Source organism: Homo sapiens, chromosome 3 (genome assembly GCF_000001405.40).
Source record: "Homo sapiens chromosome 3, GRCh38.p14 Primary Assembly".
Lineage (NCBI taxonomy): Eukaryota > Metazoa > Chordata > Mammalia > Primates > Hominidae > Homo > Homo sapiens.
The window spans coordinates 120577846-120602757 of NC_000003.12; the positions used below are offsets into that span (position 1 = coordinate 120577846).

The 24912-nt window shown below is 38.7% G+C and overlaps 1 protein-coding gene across 2 annotated transcripts, besides 2 other annotated features; it reads left to right on the forward strand.

Annotated features, from left to right (window-relative positions):
- Nucleotides 18491–24662, forward strand: NDUFB4 (NADH:ubiquinone oxidoreductase subunit B4). 2 transcript variants are annotated; one of them, NM_004547.6, is made up of 3 exons: nt 18491–18694; nt 23266–23412; nt 24363–24662. In NM_004547.6, exons 1-3 carry the CDS (start codon nt 18515–18517, stop codon nt 24423–24425), a joined length of 390 nt encoding a protein of 129 aa, NP_004538.2. In that variant the 5' UTR covers nt 18491–18514; the 3' UTR covers nt 24426–24662. The 2 variants fall into 2 exon arrangements, with proteins under 2 accessions (NP_004538.2, NP_001161803.1); NM_001168331.2 differs by having other exon boundaries at nt 23266–24566.
- Nucleotides 18562–18901: an enhancer, noted in NCBI's record as "active region_20334". NCBI's record gives its function as "activates an Ori minimal core promoter by ATAC-STARR-seq in GM12878 lymphoblastoid cells {active_cell/tissue: GM12878}" and the evidence as "EXISTENCE:reporter gene assay evidence [ECO:0000049][PMID:35858748]".
- Nucleotides 19942–20011: an enhancer, noted in NCBI's record as "active region_20335". NCBI's record gives its function as "activates an Ori minimal core promoter by ATAC-STARR-seq in GM12878 lymphoblastoid cells {active_cell/tissue: GM12878}" and the evidence as "EXISTENCE:reporter gene assay evidence [ECO:0000049][PMID:35858748]".
- Nucleotides 24663–24912: the final 250 nt, after the last annotated feature.

Sequence of the window (24912 nt, forward strand, 5' to 3'; positions counted from 1 at the left end):
GAAATAATGCCGCATATCTACAACTATCTGATCTTCGACAAACCTGAGAAAAACAAGCAATGGGGAAAGGATTCCCTATTTAATAAATGGTGCTGGGAAAACTGGCTAGCCATATGTAGAAAGCTCAAACTGGATCCCTTCCTTACACCTTATACAAAAATCAATTCAAGATGGATTAAAGATTTAAACGTTAAACCTAAAACCATAAAAACCCTAGAAGAAAACCTAGGCATTACCATTCAGGACATAGGCGTGGGCAAGGACTTCATGTCCAAAACACCAAAAGCAATGGCAACAAAAGACAAAATTGACAAATGGGATCTAATTAAACTAAAGAGCTTCTGCACAGCAAAAGAAACTACCATCAGAGTGAACAGGCAACCTACAACATGGGAGAAAATTTTCGCAACCTACTCATCTGACAAAGGGCTAATATCCAGAATCTACAATGAACTCAAACAAATTTACAAGAAAAAAACAAACAACCCCATCAAAAAGTGGGCGAAGGACATGAACAGACACTTCTCAAAAGAAGACATTTATGCAGCCAAAAAACACATGAAGAAATGCTCATCATCACTGGCCATCAGAGAAATGCAAATCAAAACCACTATGAGATATCATCTCACACCAGTTAGAATGGCAATCATTAAAAAGTCAGGAAACAACAGGTGCTGGAGAGGATGCGGAGAAATAGGAACACTTTTACACTGTTGGTGGGACTGTAAACTAGTTCATCCATTGTGGAAGTCAGTGTGGCGATTCCTCAGGGATCTAGAACTAGAAATACCATTTGACCCAGCCATCCCATTACTGGGTATATACCCAGATGAGTATAAATCATGCTGCTATAAAGACACATGCACACGTATGTTTATTGCGGCACTATTCACAATAGCAAAGACTTGGAACCAACCCAAATGTCCAACAATGATAGACTGGATTAAGAAAATGTGGCACATATACACCATGGAATACTATGCAGCCATAAAAAATGATGAGTTCATATCCTTTGTAGGGACATGGATGAAAATGGAAACCATCATTCTCAGTAAACTATCGCAAGAACAAAAAACCAAACACCGCATATTCTCACTCATAGGTGGGAATTGAACAATGAGATCACATGGACACAGGAAGGGGAATATCACACTCTGGGGACTGTGGTGGGGTCGGGGGAGGGGGGAGGGATAGCATTGGGAGACACATTAGTGGATGCAGCGCACCAGCATGGCACATGTATACATATGTAACTAACCTGCACAATGTGCACATGTACCCTAAAACTTAGAGTATAATAAAAAAAAAAAAAAAAGAAAAAAAAAAAAAAAAAAAACAAAACAGGACACCTGGACACTTTCCTCAAGGAATAATGTATAGCGGACAGTGGTAAATGACTTTGCTGGTTGGTAAGAGCAACTAGCAATATTGGAAGATTAGAGAAAAAGGGTTCTAGATGACTCATCAAGGGAAGCTCAGTCAGCCTCTGTACTCATACACTCCAGTGCCTGAGCACGGAACTCAAAAATAAAAAAGCTATGGTGTCATAATAAAAATGCACATGGGCCAAATAGCATGGGCTCCCTCGTGCTAATCAGTACTATGTACTGCTGCTACTGAATATCAGATCTGTCAAAAGCAGAGATCAATGTTGAGCACTTGACGGATGATGGTACCATCCACCAAAGAGACCAACTAGCCACTTGGAGGCAAGTTGAAAACATCAGACCACTTACCTACTAAAAGGAGTAGTGATTTGCCCCGACTTGAATTATTCTTGGCATAGAACTCTCTGTCTTTCCCACAGCACCTTGCAAAGCACCACCACTCAAAGGTTCATAAATCTTGAAAAACATCTCCTAGGACCAAGGGTCACACTTTCAGAAGGAGGGGTGACAATGATAAATAACCAAGGAATGTACTGTTTCTACCATACATCATGTGGTCTCCTGAGGGCAGAGCTAAGCACCAACTTGGAAGTGACATCTCTGAGATGGGGACATTGTCCTTCAAGGCTTCAAGGTAAAGTATATTATTTAACTAATGGCCATTATATAAGACTGTGTACTTAGCAGTTAGAAAACATGAGTCTGGGACTGAAATGGTGAAATTAGGATTAGCATTTCTAATTATAATTTGCAGTTATCTGTGGGAGAATTAGTGATTTCATTACTACAACTTTAGGCTTTTCTGGACTAAAGGTCCCAGTTCCTGGAGTAGGGGTGGGGAAAGCTATTCTACCAGCATCCTTGTTAAAGGTTCCACCAAATCCAAACTGAGCAGCTGCATGGTCATTTTGGGATCTTCATGCTGGCAGACTGGCAGACAAAGAAAGGAGTTACTATACTGACAAGAGCCATTGATTATTGGTCCCTAGTGTTCATGATGCTATAATGTGCTGCTACCTAATGAAGACAAGAGGTAAATGACTTCGTTCCTTCTGGAAATTTAGAGGATTCACTGGAACACATCATATTGCTTCTACATAGTGATTACCCAAGAGGGAAAAGCAACTTTACTATTGTACTATTCCTTTGTCCAAAATATTTTAAGAATGTACATGGCTCTTATTATTGTAATTCAAAAACATATTTCATAGATGTTTAATGATGACGGTGTATATTAAACTTAATTCGTATGTTTCCCTAGATATAAAAATTTCTTACTACATCTATTATAAGTTTATTCATTTTAACAACCACAACAAGACTTGATTTGATTGACCTTTTACTAATATTTCTGTAACTGTCACAGCAGATAATATAAAGTGTAATCTAACATAATCTGTTTTTTATTTCGCTGCTTCTAAGAATCCCATCTTATCTTGAAGTTTTCAACCATGGTTTAATACACAGTAACTTATTGGAAGCCTCAATTGGTTTCCTGTTGTCTATTAATAATTAAAATGAATTGAAAGAAAAAAAAAAAAAAAAAAAGGATGGAGGAAGATCTACCAAGCAAATGGAAAACAAAAAAAGGCAGGGGTTGCAATCCTAGTCTCTGACAAAACAGACTTTAAACCAACAAAGATCAAAAGAGACAAAGAAGGCCATTACATAATGGTAAAGGGATCACTTCAACAAGAAGAGCTAACTATCCTAAATATATATGCACCCAATACAGGAGCACCCAGATTCATAAAGCAAGTCCTGAGTGACCTACAAAGAGACTTAGACTCCCACTCAATAATAATGGGAGACTTTAACACCCCACTGTCAACATTAGACAGATCAACGAGACAGAAAGTTAACAAGGATATCCAGGAATTGAACTCAGCTCTGCACCAAGCAGACCTAACAGACATCTACAGAACTCTCCACCCCAAATCAACAGAATATACATTTTTTTCAGCACCACACCACACCTATTCCAAAATTGACCACATAGCTGGAAGTAAAGCTCTCCTCAGCAAATGTGAAAGAACAGAAATTATAACAAACTGTCTCTCAGACCACAGTGCAATCAAACTAGAACTCAGGATTAAGAATCTCACTCAAAACTGCTCAGCTACATGGAAACTGAACAACCTGCTCCTGGATGACTACTGGGTACATAAGGAAATGAAGGCAGAAATAAAGATGTTCTTTGAAACCAACGAAAACAAAGACACAACATACCAGAATCTCTGGGACACATTCAAAGCAGTGTGTAGAGGGAAATTTATAGCACTAAATGCCCACAAGAGAAAGCAGGAAAGATCCAAAATTGACACCCTAACATCACAATTAAAAGAACTAGAAAAGCAAGAGCAAACACATTCAAAAGCTAGCAGAAGGCAAGAAACAACTAAACTCAGAGCAGAACTAAAGGAAATAGAGACACAAAAAACCCTTCAAAAAATAATGAATCCAGGAGCTGGTTTTTTGAAAAGATCAACAAAATTGATAGACTACTAGCAAGACTAATAAAGAAGAAAAGAGAGAAGAATCAAATAGATGCAATAAAAAATGATAAAGGGGATATCACCACCGATCCCACAGAAATACAAACTACCATCAGAGAATACTACAAACACCTCTACACAAATAAACTAGAAAATCTAGAAGAAATGGATAAATTCCTCAACACATACACCCTCCCAAGACTAAACCAGGAAGAAGTTGAATCTCTGAATAGACCAATAACAGGCTCTGAAATTGTGGCAATAATCAATAGCTTACCGACGAAAAAGAGTCCAGGACCAGATGGATTCACAGCCGAATTCTACCAGAGGTACAAGGAGGAACTGGTACCATTCCTTCTGAAACTATTCCAATCAATAGAAAAAGAAGGAATCCTCCCTAACTCATTTTATGAAGCCAGCATCATCCTGATACCAAAGCCAGGCAGAGACACAACCAAAAAAGAAAATTTTAGACCAATATCCTTGAGGAACATTGATGCAAAAATCCTCAGTAAAATACTGGCAAACCGAATCCAGCAGCACATCAAAAAGCTTATCCACCATGATCAAGTGGGCTTCATCCCTGGGATGGAAGGCTGGTTCAATATACGCAAATCAATAAATGTAATCCAGCATATAAACAGAACCAAAGACAAAAACCACATGATTATCTCAATAGATTCAGAAAAAACCTTTGACAAAATTCAACAACCCTTCATGCTAAAAACTCTCAATAAATTAGGTATTGATGGGACATATCTCAAAATAATAAGAGCTATCTATGACAAACCCACAGCCAATATCATACTGAATGGGCAAAAACTGGAAGCATTCCCTTTGAAAACTGGCACAAGACAGGGATGCCCTCTCTCACCACTCCTATTCAACATAGTGTTGGAAGTTCTGGCCAGGGCATTCAGGCAGGAGGAGGAAATAAAGGGTATTCAACTGGGAAAAGAGGAAGTCAAATTATCCCTGTTTGCAGATGACATGATTGTATATCTAGAAAACCCCATCGTCTCAGCCCAAAATCTCCTTAAGCTGATAAGCAACTTCAGCAAAGTCTCAGGATACAAAATCAATGTACAAAAATCACAAGCATTCTTATACACCAATAACAGACAAACAGACAGCCAAATCATGAGTGAACTCCCATTCACAATTGCTTCAAAGAGAATAAAATACCTAGGAATCCAACTTACAAGGGATGTGAAGGACCTCTTCAAGGAAAACTACAAACCACTGCTCAATGAAATAAAAGAGGATACAAATATATGGAAGAACATTCCATGATCATGTGTAGGAAGAATCAACATCATGAAAATGGCCATACTGCCCAAGGTAATTTATAGATTCAATGCCATCCCCATCAAGCTACCAATGACTTTCTTCACAGAATTGGAAAAAACTACTTTAAAGTTCATATGGAACCAAAAAAGAGCCCCCATCGCCAAGTCAATCCTAAGTCAAAAGAACAAAGCTGGAGGCATCACGCTACCTGACTTCAAACTATACTACAAGGCTATAGTAACCAAAACAGCATGGTACTGGTACCAAAACAGAGATATAGATCAATGGAACAGAACAGAGCCCTCAGAAATAACGCCACATATCTGCAACTATCTGATCTTTGACAAACCTGAGAAAAACAAGCAATGGGGAAAGGATTCCCTATTTAATAAATGGTGCTGGGAAAACTGGCTAGCCATATGTAGAAAGCTGAAACTGGATCCCTTCCTTACACCTTATACAAAATTAATTCAAGATGGGTTAAAGACTTAAACATTAGACCTAAAACCAGAAAAACCCTAGAAGAAAACCTAGGCATTACCATTCAGGACATAGGCATGGGCGAGGACTTCATGTCTAAAACACCAAAAGCAATGGCAACAAAAGCCAAAATTGACAAATGGGATCTAATTAAATTAAAGAGCTTCTGCACAGCAAAAGAAACTACCATCAGAATGAACAGGCAACCTACAAAATGGGAGAAAATTTTTGCAACCTACTCATCTGACAAAGGGCTAATATCCAGAATCTACAATGAACTCAAACAAATTTACAAGAAAAAAACAAACAACCCCATCAAAAAGTGGGCAAAGGACATGAACAGACACTTCTCAAAAGAAGACATTTATGCAGCCAAAAAACACATGAAAAAATGCTCACCATCACTGGCAATCAGAGAAATGCAAATCAAAACCACTATGAGATATCATCTCACACCAGTTAGAATGGCAATCATTAAAAAGTCAGGAAACAACAGGTGCTGGAGAGGATGTGGAGAAATAGGAACACTTTTACACTGTTGTTGGGACTGTAAACTAGTTCAACCATTGTGGAAGTCAGTGTGGCGATTCCTCAGGGATCTAGAACTAGAAATACCATTTGACCCGGCCATCCCGTTACTGGGTATATACCCAAAGGACTATAAATCATGCTGCTATAAAGACACATGCACACGTATGTTTATTGCAGCACTATTCACAATAGCAAAGACTTGGAACCAACCGAAATATCCAACAAGGATAGACTGGATTAAGAAAATGTGGCACATATACACCATGGAATACTATGCAGCCATAAAAAATGATGAGTTCATGTCCTTTGTAGGGACATGGATGAAATTGGAAATCATCATTCTCAGTAAACTATCGCAAGGACAAAAAACCAAACACCGCTTGTTCTCACTCATAGGTGGGAATTGAACAATGAGAACACATGGACACAGGAAGGGGAACATCACACTCTGGGGACTGTTGTGGGGTCGGGGGAAGGGGGAGGGTTAGCATTAGGAGATATACCTAATGCTAAATGATGAGTTAATGGGTGCAGCACACCAGCATGGCACATGTATACATATGTAACTAACCTGCACATTGTGCACATGTACCCTAAAACTTAAAGTATAATAATAATAAAATAAAAATAAATAAAAAAAAGAAAAAATACATATAGGATAATTACAATTTTCTAAAACATCCTCTCTGTGGAAAAAAGATTGGAAGAAAAAAATGTCAAAAATGTTATGTGATTGTCCTTAGGCTGCTGAAAGATGGGTTTCAAATATTTTAATTTTTCATTCTATTTTAAAATTTTCCTATAATGAAATGTATTACTTTTGGAATGGAAAAAATGGTTTAAAACCCCCAAAGAACTTCATTTTACTTTTTATCCTTGTTTAATCCAGGGTAATGCTTATAAGAATAAAAGAAGTTAAAGATACTTCATGTTGAGAATTTAAGTATAGTTTGGAAGAAACTCTGAGCAAGCGATACTAAGTTATGTCTTGGCTGCCCTCAGTTAGCCATATACACATGAAGCAAACCTCATCACTGGGTCTCCATCCCCTTTCCTTGATCAAGGTGACTATGAAACACTAAGAAGTCTGTTCACCTGGCTGGGTGTGTTGGCTCACACCTGTAGTCCCAGAACTTTGGGAGGCCGTGGTGGGTGGATCATGAGGTCAGGAGTTCAAGACCAGCCTGGCCAACATGGTGGAACCCCATCTCTACTAAAAATACAAAAAATTAGCCGGGCACAGTGGCAGGCACCTGCAATCCCAGCTACTGAGAAGGCTGAGGCAGGAGAATCGCTTGAACCCAGGAGGTGGAGGTTGCAGTGAGCCAAGATCGTGCCACTGCACTCTAGCCTGGGCGACAGAGCACGACTCCATCATAAAAGAAAAAAAAAGAAGTCTGTTCACCTAAAGATCATACCAATGATGGCAGAATACAGACTCTAGCAATAGGTCTAGCAAAGTCTGGTATATTCCACAGCCTTCAGTTTAGCTTGCTGTGGTTGGCCCTAGGTCACCTTGCCATTCTAAGAAGTGGTCATTCACAAACTGGCTTCTGCTGAATTGATTTTCTGGGAATCAGCCTGCTTCTGCTGAGGACAAGCTTGAACCAAAAGATAGGAGACCTCAGGAGGTTAAATTCATAAGCCAATATTTTTAATTAGCCATCCTTGGTATACTTAACAAGTCATAAGAGTTAGATTCTGTAAATAATAGTCTTTCAGAGGCCAGGCCTGTGCTGCATTTTTAGAAAGCCAGAGTCAACCCAGGCAAAAATGTCAATGATACCTTTTACCTGGAGAGAGAACATCTCTCTAGGACTGTTAAACCAAAAGCTATACTACACTCACCCACAATAGCTACAGAATTCCTTGGCAGGGGCTAGTGGTTTCTTCTAGCTGATTCTGAAATTGAAATATTGAATATCTATCATTTAGGAACATGAAATTCAGCAGCTTTCTTAAAGAGACTTAAACCAACATGGAAGAAAAATATAAAAAGTTTCCTTATAACCTAACCAGCATTAGGGCCTGCCATGCACCCCAAGTCCCGGGCCAGTTTCTTCAGGAGACATGTGGAGTAAGAAACAGAAATTGTTCTTAAGGAGAGGGAGAAAAAAACAAGTACAAAATTGCCTGTAATACCAAGTAGAATAAAATAAGTAGGATGCAAATTTAGGGAAGAGAAAAATCACCTCTACTTGGGGGCCATAAGGGAAGATTTCCAGAGAATGAGGCATTTGAAGCAGCCCTTGATAGACATAAGATTTCAGTCAGCCACAGGCAGCAGGGAAGGTATAAGATAACTTTGATGGAGGGAAGAATATTATCAAGCAAAAGAAGATATGAAAAAAAAAGATAACATGTTCCAATCCAAATTTCTAAAAATGCAAGTGGCCCTATGAACTGAGGACCCGGGAGTCATGGCCTGGCCTATGGCTGGGCTTTGTTTTGCTGGGTATGAACTTGGAGCTCTGTGAACTTTGAAAGGCAGGTGGAGGTGGAGGCTGCTTGGCTGGTGGGGCTCCCAGAACAGACTTAAGGAGTGGGGAAGAAGAGGAATAAGAGCTCTTGCTGCTACAGAGATAAGAACTTGGTAGGAAGCAAATAAGAGACACTAAAAAGACATCATTGAGTCATTTTGCTTTGTGATATAACTCCTCTCCTGTGTATCCAGATAAATCTTTGATCACAATCTACATTACTAGACAATGTGTTAGACTTGAATTTTGAGTGTGTGTGTGTGTGTGTGTGTGGTGGGGGGCTGTATGTGTGTATGGGTTGAGGGGTGGTGGGTATGGAATACATCCTGGAGGTGAGAGTGAGATGAAAGCAGAGGCAGCAAGAGGGGTGTAGGCACATTTGTTTAATAGACTTACTTGGAAGTGAAGAAAGGCAACTAGTCATTCATTCATTCATCACTACTACGTTGTACCAAACACTGTGCTAGTATCGAGATGCAGTAGATCCAAGTCTGATGTGGTCCTGGTCTTCAAAGAGCCTGCAATCTTGTTGGGGTTGGGGGCAGAGATGAACTAAATAATTTTAAAAATGCCTAATTAGGATTGCAGTTAGTGCCATGAAGGAGAAGCCTATATCGCTATGAAAGTTCGTAGAGGGATTCGACCTTGTTGATTAGTTAAGGGGCTATAGAATTGAGTTCTGAAGGACGAATAGGAATGTAGAGTGTAGTGTTTAAGGTAGAGCAAAGAGTAAGTGCAAAGGCCCTGTGGAAAGAAGGAACTGAAGACAGGCCAGCATGTCTGAAGCACAGACAGTGATGAGGAGCATAGAGACAAGTACTGCTGACGAGACAGGAAGCAGACCACCACTGGGTGTTGTAAGTCAGGTAAGGGTTAATTGGGGGTGATAGGATCATTTATATTTAAGAAGGCCACTCTGGCTGCTGTATGGAAAAGGAATGAGAGTATGACAAGAGTAGATGTATGCAAGAAAATCAACTAAGAAGCCGCTGCTCTCCCCAGGGAAAAGATGATGATAGGGCTATACTTTATCACAAATAAGAAAGCATGACATAGCCTCAGCTAAGAGGATTAACTCTCTTTTATATTAAATTGAAAGCGTGCAAGAAAATGTCACCTTACACTTTGTAGGAAACTTATTGTTCCTTTCAAGTACAAATATGTGCTTATGTAAGTGACTTTAGCAATAAGAACAGATATATGCTAACACTAGGATGAAAAGACAGTCTCTGAAGAAGTGGAATGCAAAATGTAATATTCATAAGCTTTTGGATATGTCTACATGACAGATGTGTTTCTAAGTGTACTGTATATTTTAGGCAGAATGTTTTTTCTTGGCTGGTTTGTATACAGCACACTGAATGGATAGAGGGAACAAAGCATTATATATGAGTTACTTTTTCTTTATATACAAACAATTCACAGAGGCATTCCCACTAAAATGCTTCCATTTCACCTTCAATTCATCTTGAATACTCTAATTTTGTTCAAGGAGAAATTAACAAATCACAATGGCATTGGGAGATTATAATACACCTCTATAGATCAAATAGACAAAATGAATAAAGATATGAGAGATTCAAACCACACAATTAACAAGCTTGATCTAACCCTGCACTCAATAAATATGGAATATATCTATTCTTTTTAAGCTCACATGGAACTATTATATACATTGACTATGTATGATTACAAGGTAAGTTCATTTTCTAATAACAGAATATGTATATTTTTTGCATTTTTCTATATGTATGTTAAATTTCCATAAAATGGCTTGTTTTTAAAAAAAGCCAAACCAAATCAGAGCAAACAAAGATAAAGTCTCAAAGAGAGGCTCAGCAAATTTCAAAGGAATATCACACAAGCTTCTCTGACAATAATGCAATTAAATTGAAATTTAACAATAAAAACTTAAAACATTTTTTGGAGAGCAAAAAATGCATTTCTAAAGAATTTGTGACTTAAGAAAAAAATCATACTGGAAACTGTCAAATACTCAGAACTGTATATGAATGAAAATGATAATAATAACTTGTAGAGATGTAATTAAATAAAATGTACAGAATAATATGCATGTATTATAAAACATAAAAACAAAAATGAATGAGAAAGCATTCAGTTTAAAAATCTAGAAGAAAGACATTAGAGTAAGTGCAAGAAAAGCAGAAGAGAGGAAAAATTATTGATTAGAAGTGATTAACTAAATAAAAATGGAATCCCAAAGTTCCAGCAGTTTACTTTGTGGATATCAATGATCTGACTCTAAGGTTTATATGGAGCAGCAAAAGACCCAGAATAGCCAACACAATATAAATAAATAAATACTGGGCCAAGACCTTAATAGACACCTCACCAAAGAAGACACACAGATGACAAATAAGCACATGAAAAGATGCACCATGTCATGTATCATCAGGAAAATGCAAATTGAAACAACAATGAGCCACCCCTATACACCTATTAGAATTGTCAAAATCAGAACACTGACAACATCAAATGCTGGAGAGAATGTGGAGCAACAGAAATGCTCATTCATCACTTGTGGGAATGCAAAATGGTACAGCCACTTTGGAAGACAGTTTGGTGCTTTCTTATAAAACTAAATATAGTCTTTTTTTTTTTTTGAGATAAAGATTAACTCTGTTGCCCAGGCTGGAGTGCAGTGGTGAGATCTCAGCTCACTGCCAGCTCCGTCTCCCGGGTTCAAGTCAACCTTGTCCCTCAGCCTCCTGAGTAGCTAGGATTACAGGCGCCTGCCACCACACCTGGCTAATTTTTGTATTTTTAGTAGAGATAGGGTTTCACCATGTTGGCCAGGCTGGTCTCAAACTCCTGACCTCAGGTGATCCACCTGTCTTGGCTTCCCAAAGTGCTGGGATTACAGGTGTGAGCCACTGCACCCGGCCAAAACTACACATATTCTTACCATACAATTCAGCAGTTATGCTCCTTGGTATTTACCTAAAGGAGTTGAAAGCTTATGTCCACACTAAAACCTGCAAGTGGATGTTTATAGTAGTTTTATTCATAATTACCAAAACTTAGAAGCAACCAAGATGTCCTTCAGTAGGTGAATGGCTGAATAAATTTTGGTACATGAAGACAATGGAATGTTACCCAGCCCTAAAAAGAAATGAGCTATGAAGCCATGAAAAGATATGAAGGAAACTTAAGTGCATATTTCTAAGTGAAAGAAGACAATCTGAAAAGGCCAGATACTGTAGGATTCCAACTATTGACATTCTAGAAAAGGCAAGATTATGGAAAGAGAAAAAGATCAGTGGTTGCCAGAGGTTGGTGAGAAGGTGAGAGGAAGGTTGAATATGCAGAGCACAGGTAATTTTTAGGGCAGGGAAAATACGCTGTATGATACTATAACATTGGATATGTGTCATTATAGGTTTGTCCAATACATAGAATGTGTAACAACAAGAGTGAACCACAGTGTAAACTATGGACTTTGGGTAATAATGATGTCAATGTTGGTTCATCAATTGTAACAAATGTACTAGTCTGGTGGAGGATGTCGATAACGGGGGAGGCTGTCTATATGGGGGCACAGGTGGTATATGGACAATCTCTGTATCTTCCTCTTAATTTTGCTGTGAAACTAAAACTGCCCTAAAAAATAAAATCTTCTTAAAAATGGGTTCTATTAAAAGACAAAGTAGGCAATCCTCTAGCAGAATGGATGAAGGAAAAAGCAATCAATAATATTAGAAGTAAAGGGAGGAACATAATTATAAAGACAGTGGAGATTGAAAAAATTCATGGGATGAGATTAGGAACTCTATGGCAGTACATTTGAAACAAGATATTTGAGAAAATATAAATTATCAAAATTAATTCAAGAAGAGAAAAACTGAACAAACCAACAACCATTACAGACATTAAAATAATAGCCAAAAAGCTCCCCTGAAAAAAACATGGAAGGCCCAGACAGTTATACAAGTTAATTCACCAAGCCTTCATCGAATAGATAGTCCCTATCTTATACAAACTGTTTTGGAGAGTTAAAAAAAAAAAAGAGAGAAATCTATCCAACTCATTTCATGTAAATATACTACCCCCATTAAAAAAGAAAGAAGTATATCCCATGTATTCATGTAAATATAATAACAAAGCTAGACAACAAAATAAGCTAAAAAGAACATTTAGAGCCAATTCACCTATAAACATAAATGACAAAATTCAAAGTAAAATGCTAAGAAATGTAATTCATCAGCATATTAAGAAACATACATCATAGCCATGACATAGGGTAAATTCCAGAATGCAAAACAACTCCACATCAGAACAACTTACCAAGGCTATCTACCTTTTTAATAGACTAATAGAGAAAAAACAGATAATAGATCTTAAAAATGTTGAAATAGCATTTGATCAATTAAACACCCATAAATGATTAAAAAAAAAAACTTTTGCCAAGGAATATAAGGGAATTTTCTTAACCCAATAAAGGGTTTCTGTCAAAACTTATAGTAAGCATCATATATGATGGTGAAATATCAGATTATTTTCTATTAGAGTTGGGAATAAGATAGGAGACCCCCTATTTCCACTATTATGCAACATTGTACTAGAGGTCCTAGCGAATGCAATAGGAGAGAGAGAGAAAATAAGTTTAAGACTTGGAAAAGAAAAGGCAAGACTGCTATTTGCACGAGATATGACTGACTACATAGACGAATCCTAAAGAATGTAAAGAAAAGCTAATGGGACTAATAAAAATTTTAACAAGGTTACTGATTCCAAGATAAGTATATAAAAATCAATAATATTCCCATATCCCAGCAATAACCAATTGGAAGATGTAATCGGAAAAGTAAACAACAGCAGCAATAAAAATCTATTACTGTATTAGAGAGGCAAGAGTTCTTTATGGAGAAAGTTACAAAACATGATTGAAGGACATAAAAGGAGACCTGACTAATGATCATGGATGGGAAGATACAATATTTACAAAGATGCCTATTCTCCCCAAGTCAAGCTATAAATTTAGTGCAATTCCAATAAAAATTTCAATGGATTTTTTATAGGACTTGATAACTTAACTCTAAAATTCACCTGAAAGAGAAGAGGAAAAAACGTAGCTTAGACAATTTTGAACTATGATAAAACAGAGGGATTTGCCCCATGAAATAACAAGATATTACAAAGCCATAGTAAAAACACATAAAAGTAACATATGTTTGTCATGGACACTCCTTGTATTCTCAAAGTGCCTGCTGGATACATTACCACTTAGAAAGAAAGTAGTCCTAGGTGGGTCTTTTCTAAATATCATAAACTTCTGTGACTTAGGTGTACCTATTGGGTGAAAACAGTTGTATGCTTATTCATGACTGATCAGGACACTGCCCAAGTCAACAGAACTACAGAGGAGTTGGATACAATGAAAGCCAACCTCCCATGTGGTGCTTTGGGGCAATCTAGATTGAAGTTTCAAATGGACCCAGTATGTCTTCTTTTGGAGGAAGAGTAAGTGCTAGGTAAACAAATAGAAAGTGGGTTATTAAGCTCAAGTAGGACCCTGAAAACCCTAAAATATTGTTCTTATTCTCCCTTAGGGCTGCTGTTCATTCCAATATTGGGAGGCAAGGTCCCAGGTTGGCTATACAACCAAAGAGATGACTGTCCTTGCTACCCCATGTTCCTGGATCTCCTTGCCAATTAAATTAATTCACATAGTACTCTCTGTCTCTTCCTTGCAACCTTAATAAAACTAACAAGAAGATCCAGGTTTGAGGAAGATCCAGGTTTTGGAGGAGTCTTCTTTAAGAAAAATTACACAAAACTACAAATACAATTAGATATAAATGAGAAAAATCACAATAAATTACAAATTTAAAACATAAACATCACAAAATGAAATATATAAAAGAAATAATAAAATATTTGTATTAATTTTCTGATATACCTCTATATTTTTTCCTACATATTTTGGCTGCATACACTTTGTTTGCCTCTTCAGATGGCAAGATTGTTGTAATATTGTATTCTATAGAGGAAAAAGCAAGACAATACAGTGCTTTCTTGATGCACCTTTCTTACAGTTTCTATATCCACCTATTCATCTTCTGTTCCCCAAAACCCTGCCCTATCCACATAACTTAACCACCCCTTCCCATTTGCATTCCTTCTTCACTTCACCACATCATCCCCCTTCTTCCAGCCAAACACAGGTACATATACTTTGTCCTTGTAACCCATGACCTGATAAACTCTGTTAGGAGGTTTCTTAGGAAGTAAAAGTCTTCAAAACAGGAAATATTCATTGATGAAATGACAACTTGTGAAATTGTTCCCCACTTAAATTGTCCAATCTTTTAACCTTAGTGCCTATACCCACTTCTATCAAAATCCTTGTCATTCATTTGGAAATATCTAGCCCTCAAATACAACTGAAATCTATTGCAAATTAAAAGTGCAAATTTACAAAAGATGTGGAATTTCATGATCTTGAAATTGATGTTAGTAAACTGCTGGATCCACATGCAAAGTCATTAATAAAGGAGGACTTCACAGAGTTGGACCAGATAACAAATGAAAAAGAGAAAAACAATGAGAACGATGTTGACATCAATACATCAAAGAGAAATAATCTGATTTCAAAGGATTAAGAGAGGTCTTTGGGAAAACTAGATAAACGCCTCCAAAACTTTTGCAAGTAAGACCCTGCAGCAAAAATCAAATGCACAGTGAAGGATAATGAGCCATATAAAAAATTATGTCCCTCCTCCAAAACAACATTTGAGTTACCAGAATTAGCACATACTTGCAGTTGTAACCTAACGTGTTAAATATAAGATAAATTCATTTTTATAAGTTTGGGTTGAATTTTTTTCAATATAAAGTTCAAATCAAGTCTTTTTCTTTCACTCTTTCACTATGGAATCTACATCTCTATCTTTAATGGATTCATTCTAAGAGGGCCTTTTCTGGTACCAATTATCTTTGGAAAAGAAAGACCTTTTGTACTCATCTCTGTTTTACAAGCATGTAATATATTTTAATACCACCACTCCCCCACTGGAAATTGTAAAAAATACAGACTCTTGGGTTCCTCTGCCATACCAATTTTGAATCTCCAGGTGGAGAACGGGAACTAGGAGTTAAAAAAAAATTCCATATTTTAATTTACTAATTATTTTTACTTCATTTTTTTTTTTAGAGGTGCAGTCTCACTATGTTGTCTAGGCTAGACTTAAACTCCTGGGATCAAGGGATCTTCCGGCCTCAGCCTCTCCAGTAGCTGGGACTACAGGTACATGCTACCACACCTGGCTAAACTCCCTTTTTTTTTAACACTCATCATAAGCAATCCTCGTGATAATCAGGCAAGTGTGGTAATAACTACTTTAACTCATCCAAAGCTTTCTTTATAGTAACCTTAAGAAATCTTCTTTAACCTAGTCAGCTGGTTTGAGGTAGGAGGTAGGACTCGGACACCGAACCAAATTGAGCACTAGCCTAAACAGGTCGGAGGTGGAAGCCGCTTTCCATCAGATACACACACCAGTGTGTCAGTTCATCATTGCCATGGCAACACCCAGGAGTTACCACCCCTTTCCAGGGCAATGACCTGATGACCCAAAAGTTGCTACCCCTTCCCTAGAAATGTCTGCATAAACTGCCTCTTTACTTTTTTGTCTGTTTGTTTGTTTGTTTGAGACGGAGTCTCGCTCTGTCGCCCAGGCTGGAGTGCAGTGGCGCGATCTCGGTTCACTGCAAGCTCCGCCTCCCTGGTTCACACCATTCTCCTGCCTCAGCCTCCCGAGTAGCTAGGACTACAGGCGCCCGCCACCACGCCCAGCTAATTTTTTTTTGTATTTTTAGTAGCGACGGGGTTTCACCGTGTAAGCCAGGATGGTCTTGATCGCCTGACCTCGTGATCCGCCCGCCTCGGCCTCCCAAAGTGCTGGGATTACAGGCGTGAGCCACCGCGCCCGGCCAAACTGCCAAATGTGGGTATAAATGTGACTCAAAGCTGGCCTGAGCTGGTGCTTTCTGCCTATGAGGTGGCCCTGCTCTACAGGAGCAGTCACGGTTGTGACACCACCAAAGCTGTAACACTGCCTCTTCAATAAAATTGTTTTCTTCTACCTCCGGGTTGCCCTTGAATTCTTTCCTGGGCAAAGCCAAGTTCCCTGGTTGCCTAAGCCCCACTTTGGGGCTCGCCTGCCCTGCATCAGTTCGTACTCGCTGGACTCATTCCTTTATCCTTTTATTCTTTTTACATGCTCTCCTTCCTAGATCAGTGTCTAATCTATACAGGTTTTGGAAACTTTATGTAGTCTTTAGAATTTTATAAACTGCTCTTGCTTTTCATATTGTATTATTTTCTTAGTATTTCAAAACACCTTTGAACAAGTCAGAATTTCCTTTTTTTTTCTCCTTTAAAATCGAGTCTGAGTAACTCGTCTTGTGTTCATTTTTTCTACATTCTCTCAGCCTGAATCCTCATGAGTCCATTTTGCTCTATATTCATCTGGACATTAGACTACTTTGAAATATTACCATTTCTGCCTATTCTTTCTGTACTGCCTGATTGTCAGCTCCCGAAAGGCAAACACCCCATCTTCCATTTTGTCTGGATTTCCCCCACTGAGCCTAGAAGATTGACTTAACACTGACTAGTGTGCTGTGTGCTTCACGCGGTGGGTGCTTAATAAATATTTTAAAACAGTATTAAAATGTTGAATAAATTTGACAGCAGTGCTGCTTCTCATCATTTCAAATGCCAACACTTTCTAGGTCCCTTTTCTAGCAACCATTTCCCAACATACCTACGCGCCCCCAGACGTTTCAGCCAAGCTGGGGCTCTCTTTTGATCCATCCTTCTTTGCCCGAGTTATGGAAATATTGTTTACATTTTTTCCCCTGAGGAGAAGGGGAACCCAAAGACCCTGCTGTGAAACTTGAAGTTGTTTTTCTCCTTGGTAACTGGGGAGAAGGAAGGACAGTAGGGACAGAGAAGGTTTTGTTTCTGATTACTTCAGTTTTCGCCCCAGATCGTCTTTTACAATAAGATACATGCCCCTATGAGTATTTTCATACCTGTAAGGATGTTTTTAATTCTTTGCATCTGAAGAGTGCTAAGGATTTTAGGCAAGAGGTTTTAGTATTTTAACTAAGATGTTTTCTCATGAGCTTTATTCAGTATCTCATTTTCTTCCTGACCTTCTATAGTCAGTCAGGCAACATTTCTCTTATAACATCATTTTTCCTATTAATCATTATTTCGTACCTGTGAAAAATAAGCTTACACTTAATGTTGTATGAATCTAGCATGGTAAAGTACAGAAAAGCTTATTCTCTTCTTCTTGGGTAGGGAATTCTGTTTTGCAAAGCACTTTGTGATCTATTTGTTAGCTTATTTAATCCTCACAACAACTTTGCTAGGTGGACAGGAGTCATTATCTCCAGGATAAGGAAAAGGAAACTCAGAGACTTTAAGTGACTTATCCAAGGTGACACAGCACGGTTAGACCCACAATGAAAACCCGGACTTCTGACTCCACAGCCAGTCCCACACAGCTCAACTTTACATAATAAGCCCTGGTTATGTCAGTAGAGACAAGGCTGCTAGGAAGAAGCAGCGCGGTGACAGATGAGTAGGTGGGGAGCGGCGGTGGGGCAGGGCGCACTGCGAGAAGAGCACTTCGCGCATGCGCATATCACCGAGCGAACGCGCCGTGTTCGGGAAGGTAGGAGAAAGAGGCGGAGCTCCTTGTTAACGACATCCCCAACCTCTGCTAACGCGCAGGCGCACTTCCTGAAGCTGAAGGTCAGCATAGACAAAGGGCCTCAGAATCGCGCAGGCGCAATTGTGCCCTGGTTCGCCAAGATGTCGTTCCCAAAGTATAAGCCGTCGAGCCTGCGCACTCTGCCTGAGACCCTCGACCCAGCCGAATACAACATATCTCCGGAAACCCGGCGGGCGCAAGCCGAGCGGTTGGCCATAAGAGCCCAGCTGAAACGAGAGTACCTGCTTCAGTACAACGATCCCAACCGCCGAGGGCTCATCGTGAGTGTGGGGCCTCCCAGGCGGGAATAGGGCCCGAGTCCTGGGAGAGACCGAGAGAGACCACGCAAAGGGTCGGCCACCGCTCCCGATCAGTATCTCAGACGCAGGTCCTCTTCCAGGCCTAGCCAACTCACTACCCTTTTACCTTTGCCAGAGCTTGGCCCTCGAGAGGACCGGCTCTGGACTCAGACCTGGCTGGGTTTGAATCCTGGCTTGATCACTTCCTGCCTGCGTGACCTTAAGAACGTTATTCACTCTGCTTATCCTCGATTTTCTGTCTGCAAAATGGGCGTAATATAGTGCTTACTCTTTTATCAGGCTGTTAGGATTAAATGAGATAGAGTATGTGACTGTCCTAGCACAGTGCCTCGTTCGTAAGGCGTGTTCAGAAAATGTTTCTATATATATGCATATATATATTATATTATATATATATTCTATATATATGCATATATATTATATTCTATATATATGCATATATATTTTATATATATGCATATATATTATATTCTATATATATGCATATATATTTTATATATATATATAATTTTAAAGAGCTGGTGTTTACCTTTCAGTTCACAGCTCATAGGGATACTGCTCTCTCCTGATGGGAATACAGTGATTCCTTCAACCTGCATCTTTTAAAGACCCTGAAGCTTGCTGAAGTTCTAGGCTTTGGAGTCAGAACCCAAAGCACTACTCATTGGCTAACTCTGTTACCTTGGGCAACTTCAACTCCTCTGAATTATAGTTTCCTGGTTTCGTATATAAATGATGTGCATTATGAGGTTAAATAAGACAGTCTGTGTAACATTCGCAGCACATAATATATGCCCAGTAAACTGGTAATTAACAGGTGTGCTTTCATTAGGTAGTTTTCTATACAGGAACTAAGTAGGTTAAATATGATGTTAACAGAACAGGACTGGACTTTTCCCACACGTTGCATTGGTGTTTTGGAATTTTTGGAAGTTATGAGGATTGAATGAAAGTTACAATGTGCCAGGCACTGTGCTAAAACTCTTTTTGAGTACTATTTACATATCACAACTATTTGGATGATTAAGCTCTACTACTGTCCCCATTTTACAGATGAGAAGACAACATGGGAAGGACAAGTAGGTCATACAGAGATACCTCTTTAGTAGGTGATAGAGCAAAATTCTAACCCTGGTTTGTGTAACCCACAGCATCTGCTTTTAACTAGTTGGTTATACTGTCTCCAGCCAGAACCTTGTTAACTTGGGAAGAGGGTGCAGAGAGACACATTTATTACAAACTCACATGATTGGGTTTGATGTGTTAGTGTGATGCATTAAAAAAGAATAAGGCCTCAGTCAGACCTGAAATTGAAACCAAGATCTTCTGTCTTCTAGCTGTATGCCTCAGGGTAGTTTCAATTTTCTCATGTGTAAATAGAGGTAATACTACCAGTCTCTTTGGTTCTGTTGATTAAATGAGTGTGTGACACTATCATTTATTAATCAATACATGTAAATTCTCTTGCCTAATTTTTTTTTTTTTTTCCCTTGAGACAGGATCTTACTCTGTCACCCAGGCTGGAGTGCAGTGGTATGATCTCGGCTCACTGCAACCTCTGCCTCCCGGGCTCAAGCTGTCCTCCCACCTCCGCCTTCCAAGTAGCTGGGACCACAGATGTGCGCTACCATGTCCGGTTAAGTTTTTGTATTTTTTATAGAGATGGAGTTTCATCATTTTGCCCAGGCTGGTCTTGAACTCCTGAGCTCAAGCGATCCTCCTGTCTCCGCCTCTCAGAGTGCTGGGATTACAGACTTGAGCCACTGTGCCTGGCCATCTTGCCTAATCTTTAAGAATGATTGATTGAATCAATAAATAATTGCTCAGGGTCTGTTATGGCCCTATTTTACATGCCAAGATAACAATGGAGATCAAAACAGGCAAAAATTCCTGTCCTTGTAGAACAAACTTTCTAGTAGGGGAGACAAGAAACAAGTTAAAAAATTAAAATCATTTAACATGTTAGTGGTAAGTGATGAGAAAAAAAATAAAGCAGGGGAGATTTGGAGTGTGTGTAAGTAGTAGGGGAGGTAAGCAGCTACAATCTTAGGCCCAGGGAAGCCCTCTGTTTGAAGGTGACATCTGAATAAAGATCTGAAAGAAGTGGGGTGAGGGACCTAGCTCTCTAGGAAGGCAGCCTACTCATCAGAGAACGGCAAGTGCAAGGGCCATTAGGCAGGAGAGTGTCAGGTTAATTGAAAAAACACTGGAGAGACCATTGTGACTAAAGTGGAGAAAGGTGAGGGCAGAGTGGGACAAGATCACACCAGGCCTTGTAGGTAATTGTAAGGACTTTTACTGAATAGAGAATTTCGTGATCTGGACTTAACAATTTCTCTGGCTGCTTAGTTGAGAATTGACTATGGGGGAAAGGACAGGATCAGGGAGACTAGGAGGCTTTTGTAGTAATCCAATCTCTGTTGATTACCAGGGTGGTGGCAGAAGGCGGTGAGAAATGGTAGATTCCAGGTGTATTTTAAAAGTAGAGCCAACCAGGTTTGCTGATAGACTAGATGTGGTGTATGAAAGAGGAGTCAAGGATGACTCCAAGGTTTTTGACCTAAGTGATTTTAAGAATGAAGTTGCCTTTTACTAAGAAACACAGGAATGGGAGAAGAGAAGGTATGGAGGTGGAGTAGACTGTTGGGAAATCAGTTTGGGATATGTGACGTTTTAGATGCCTGTTAGACCGTATGTCAGAGTTCAGCAGTTGGTTGGATATTAAGTCTGGAGAGTTACAGGGCTGGAGGTAAAATTTTGGGAATCATCAGCCTTTAGATAGATTATTTAAAGTTATCTGACCAGATGACATCATCAAGGGAGTAAATGTAGATAGGAAAGACCAGCGAGGTCCAATATTAAGAGATTGGGGAGATGAGGAGGAAAAGAGCAAAGAAATGAAGAGAGAATGGCCATAGAGTTAGCAGGAAATCCAAGCAGGTGTGGGCCTGGAAGTCAAGTGAAGACATGATTTTCAGGAGTTTTCACCATGTCAGATGCTACTGAGAGTGCACTGGACTTTTAGTGATGTCAGAGGAGGAAAACTCTCTTCATAGTGTGTCTTTTGGAACCTCTCAATAACATTACCGGGCTTAATGAACTATGGTCATGGGGCAATTGGTATTTTTATGAAATGAAATGTCTGTTTCTGGAAGACAGATCTGGCAGATATTAAAGCACAGAGAGGTGACTAGCAAATTGAGAAGTCTGCCATTTGATAGTCATTCAGATACATTTATAGTAGAAAGGATGTAAGAATAGATGCATTAATCCTTTCAGCTATTGAGCTTTAACATCCCCTTGGACCTAATCTGTGTCTTTACCCTCTTTTTTCTTGTTGGCAGTATAGGCATAATAATAAACAATGCTGCAGAACACTTGCATGTGCTTTCATTTTAATGTGGTGTGATAATGTCAATAGTTTCTAGAACAGCAGAAGATATTTTGGGACTTTGTATCTAGTAGTGAGTGCTTACACCGTTGAGGAATTTCAGTCTGATTAAAAGGAACGGAAGCATTTCCATCATAAGGTTTTTTTTTTTGTTTTTTTTTTTTTTTAAACTTCTGAGCTGCAGCTGATTATCTCAGGGTAAATTGTTGTAATTTAGTTTGAAATATGACTGTGGAAGACCTTGTGAAATTATTTTAGTCCTACAAATCATGACTTCTTGATGTTGGTTAGGACCTTGAATATTCATGTTATATATTAAAGTCTTAAAGCTGATTTTATTTGCTTATTTTTATCTGTCAGTTAATTGGAGAGACTAATTTTGTAAAATCACTTGGGCATTTAGCTAATTAAATTTATGTGTTTGTGGGTAGATTTGCTATTCATGGATAGTTATTCTAGTATAAATATATTAAAATGGACAATTATTTTCTTAAGACAGTCTGATTATTTTTCTTTAACAACTTTGACCTTTCTACAAAACTTCTAATAGTGTGAAATGTCTGAATTAATGCTTTTCACACTAGGTCAGCTTAAAAAACTTACAGTTCAGCTAGCCTACCCCCTCCTTCATCTTCCTACAGCTTATTTGTAGCCTGGAAAGACTATTTTGGTGATAGCATTAGAAAGGGTCCTGGAAACAAAATACAAAGCATGATAGAGCATATGAAATCTGTTTCTCTTCATTGGGAATACTGCATGGTTCTGATGGTCACACTTGACAATGAAGCTAAAAACAGTCCAGAGAAGAATAGATGAAAATGACAAAGGAGAAAAAGTGGCTTCTCTGACAGTTAGATTAGGTTAGATTAGTTAGATTAAGATTAGGATTCTTAAATAAACAGAAAGCTAATTAGTGATATGAGCCTTCTACATTCTGAAGGATTTGAACAAGATCATTAGAATTCAAAAAACACCAGAAATGAAAGATCTTTCCTGAAGCTGTTTAGGAATATTCATGATATACCCTTAACTGTTCTAGAGAACAAAATGCGTCTGTGCTCCTTCACAAAAGTCCCTATGAATTTGTTTCTCAATGTGATCCTTCTTAAGTTCTATAACTTTTTGTTTTCATTAATTTTAGGAAAATCCTGCCTTGCTTCGTTGGGCCTATGCAAGAACAATAAATGTCTATCCTAATTTCAGACCCACTCCTAAAAACTCACTCATGGGAGCTCTGTGTGGATTTGGGCCCCTCATCTTCATTTATTATATTATCAAAACTGAGAGGGTAAGTATTCAGACCAGATGTTTAGTATTTGAGTGATAGGTTCACTTTCTAGGGACCAGCTGCAGCTCCTTCTCTTGAAGATTGCCACCAGTGCCCCTCCCACCTTGGGGCTGTCCTCTGCCTTCCCTTCCTCTCTTCTTTTATCTTTATTCCTTTCCAGCAGGAGTTAAAACAGAAAGTTTTCAGTCACCTTTGTCTATTTTTGTTAGTTCATTTGTTTTTTAAAAAGATGATGTTTATTGGGTTAAGTATTAGCAGAATACATAAATCATTTAGTACGTTTCCTGTTTGCGTGAATTCTATTTATGTTGGTCACATTTTGCAAATTAATGTTAAAACCTATTAATACTCTACGGACAGAGAAGCACAAGCTGCCTGTGTGGGGAATAGCTGCCGTCAGCAGCCTGGGTATATGATTGGAGAGAAAGTCAAGCTGATCTTTGGCACCAAACCATTCCACATCTGGTACTAAACCCTGAGCTGCAGCCCCCAGGCTTGTGTTGCCACTGGAGCCCACTCGTCTAGCTTTGTCTTTAACTGGCCCATCTGCATTCCCATTAGAGTTCGTGTATTTTGATTATCTGGTGAATGATCTACTTAACAGAAAGGTAGTCCACATTTTCCCAGAAAGTGTTTGCATTTTGCTTTCAATATATGGTTTTATGGGATAATATATTTCTAATGACTAAAATGTGAGTAAGATGTTTTTGAATAGGAGCATTTTCTTACTGTGTCTTTAGTTCCTCGGATTACTGTTTCTTCGCACACTCCCTGGGCTTTAGACAGTGGGATTGCAATTAGGTTTGGAGTGTTTCATTCTGTTTGTCAGTTGTACGGTGGGTTGTGCCAAAATGCAGTTTTTCTTACCTTTTTTATTTATTTATTTTTATCTAATATAGCCAACTGGCAGAATATATTGTCTTTAATGTACTTTTTTTCTGTCTTTACAGGATAGGAAAGAAAAACTTATCCAGGAAGGAAAATTGGATCGAACATTTCACCTCTCATATTAAGTCTGGCAATGATGACTATATGTATTCCTGCCTAAATAAATCATCTATTAATCATTAAGTAGTAGTTTCTCTTTCTTAGTATTACCTTGATTCAATGTTAAAAACTATTAACACCCTAACAACACAGAAGCAGACGCAGCCCGTGTTGGGAATCTGCTGTCAGAGTGACAGCAAACATTTGCTGTACATTGAATGAATGAACATAAACTTCATTAAACTGTGAGCTCTTAGAAAGTACAGATTCTACAATCAGTTGTTCAACAAGCGAGTGTTAACTACGAGCCAGGCATTATGTTATGTGCAGAGAATACAACAGTCAGTAAGACAGAGCCTGTTCTTAAGGAGTACGTACTCTGACAGCTGTTTATTGAACAATTATTTGAGTGCTTACTACCGTCTGGTACTATTTAATACCTAAGCCCTTGTCTGGCCCCAGCTGCAGTGGTAAATACAGCCAAACTAACACCAATGTAAAAAATACAATCGA

Bases quoted from the DNA above. Each gene is read 5' to 3' on its own strand.
- NDUFB4 (NM_004547.6), top strand. From the start codon at position 18,515: ATGTCGTTCCCAAAGTATAAGCCGTCGAGCCTGCGCACTCTGCCTGAG. The intron at 18,695-23,265 runs GTGAGTGTGGGG...CATTAATTTTAG, and splicing joins CCAACCGCCGAGGGCTCATC to GAAAATCCTGCCTTGCTTCG. The intron at 23,413-24,362 runs GTAAGTATTCAG...CTGTCTTTACAG, and splicing joins ATATTATCAAAACTGAGAGG to GATAGGAAAGAAAAACTTAT.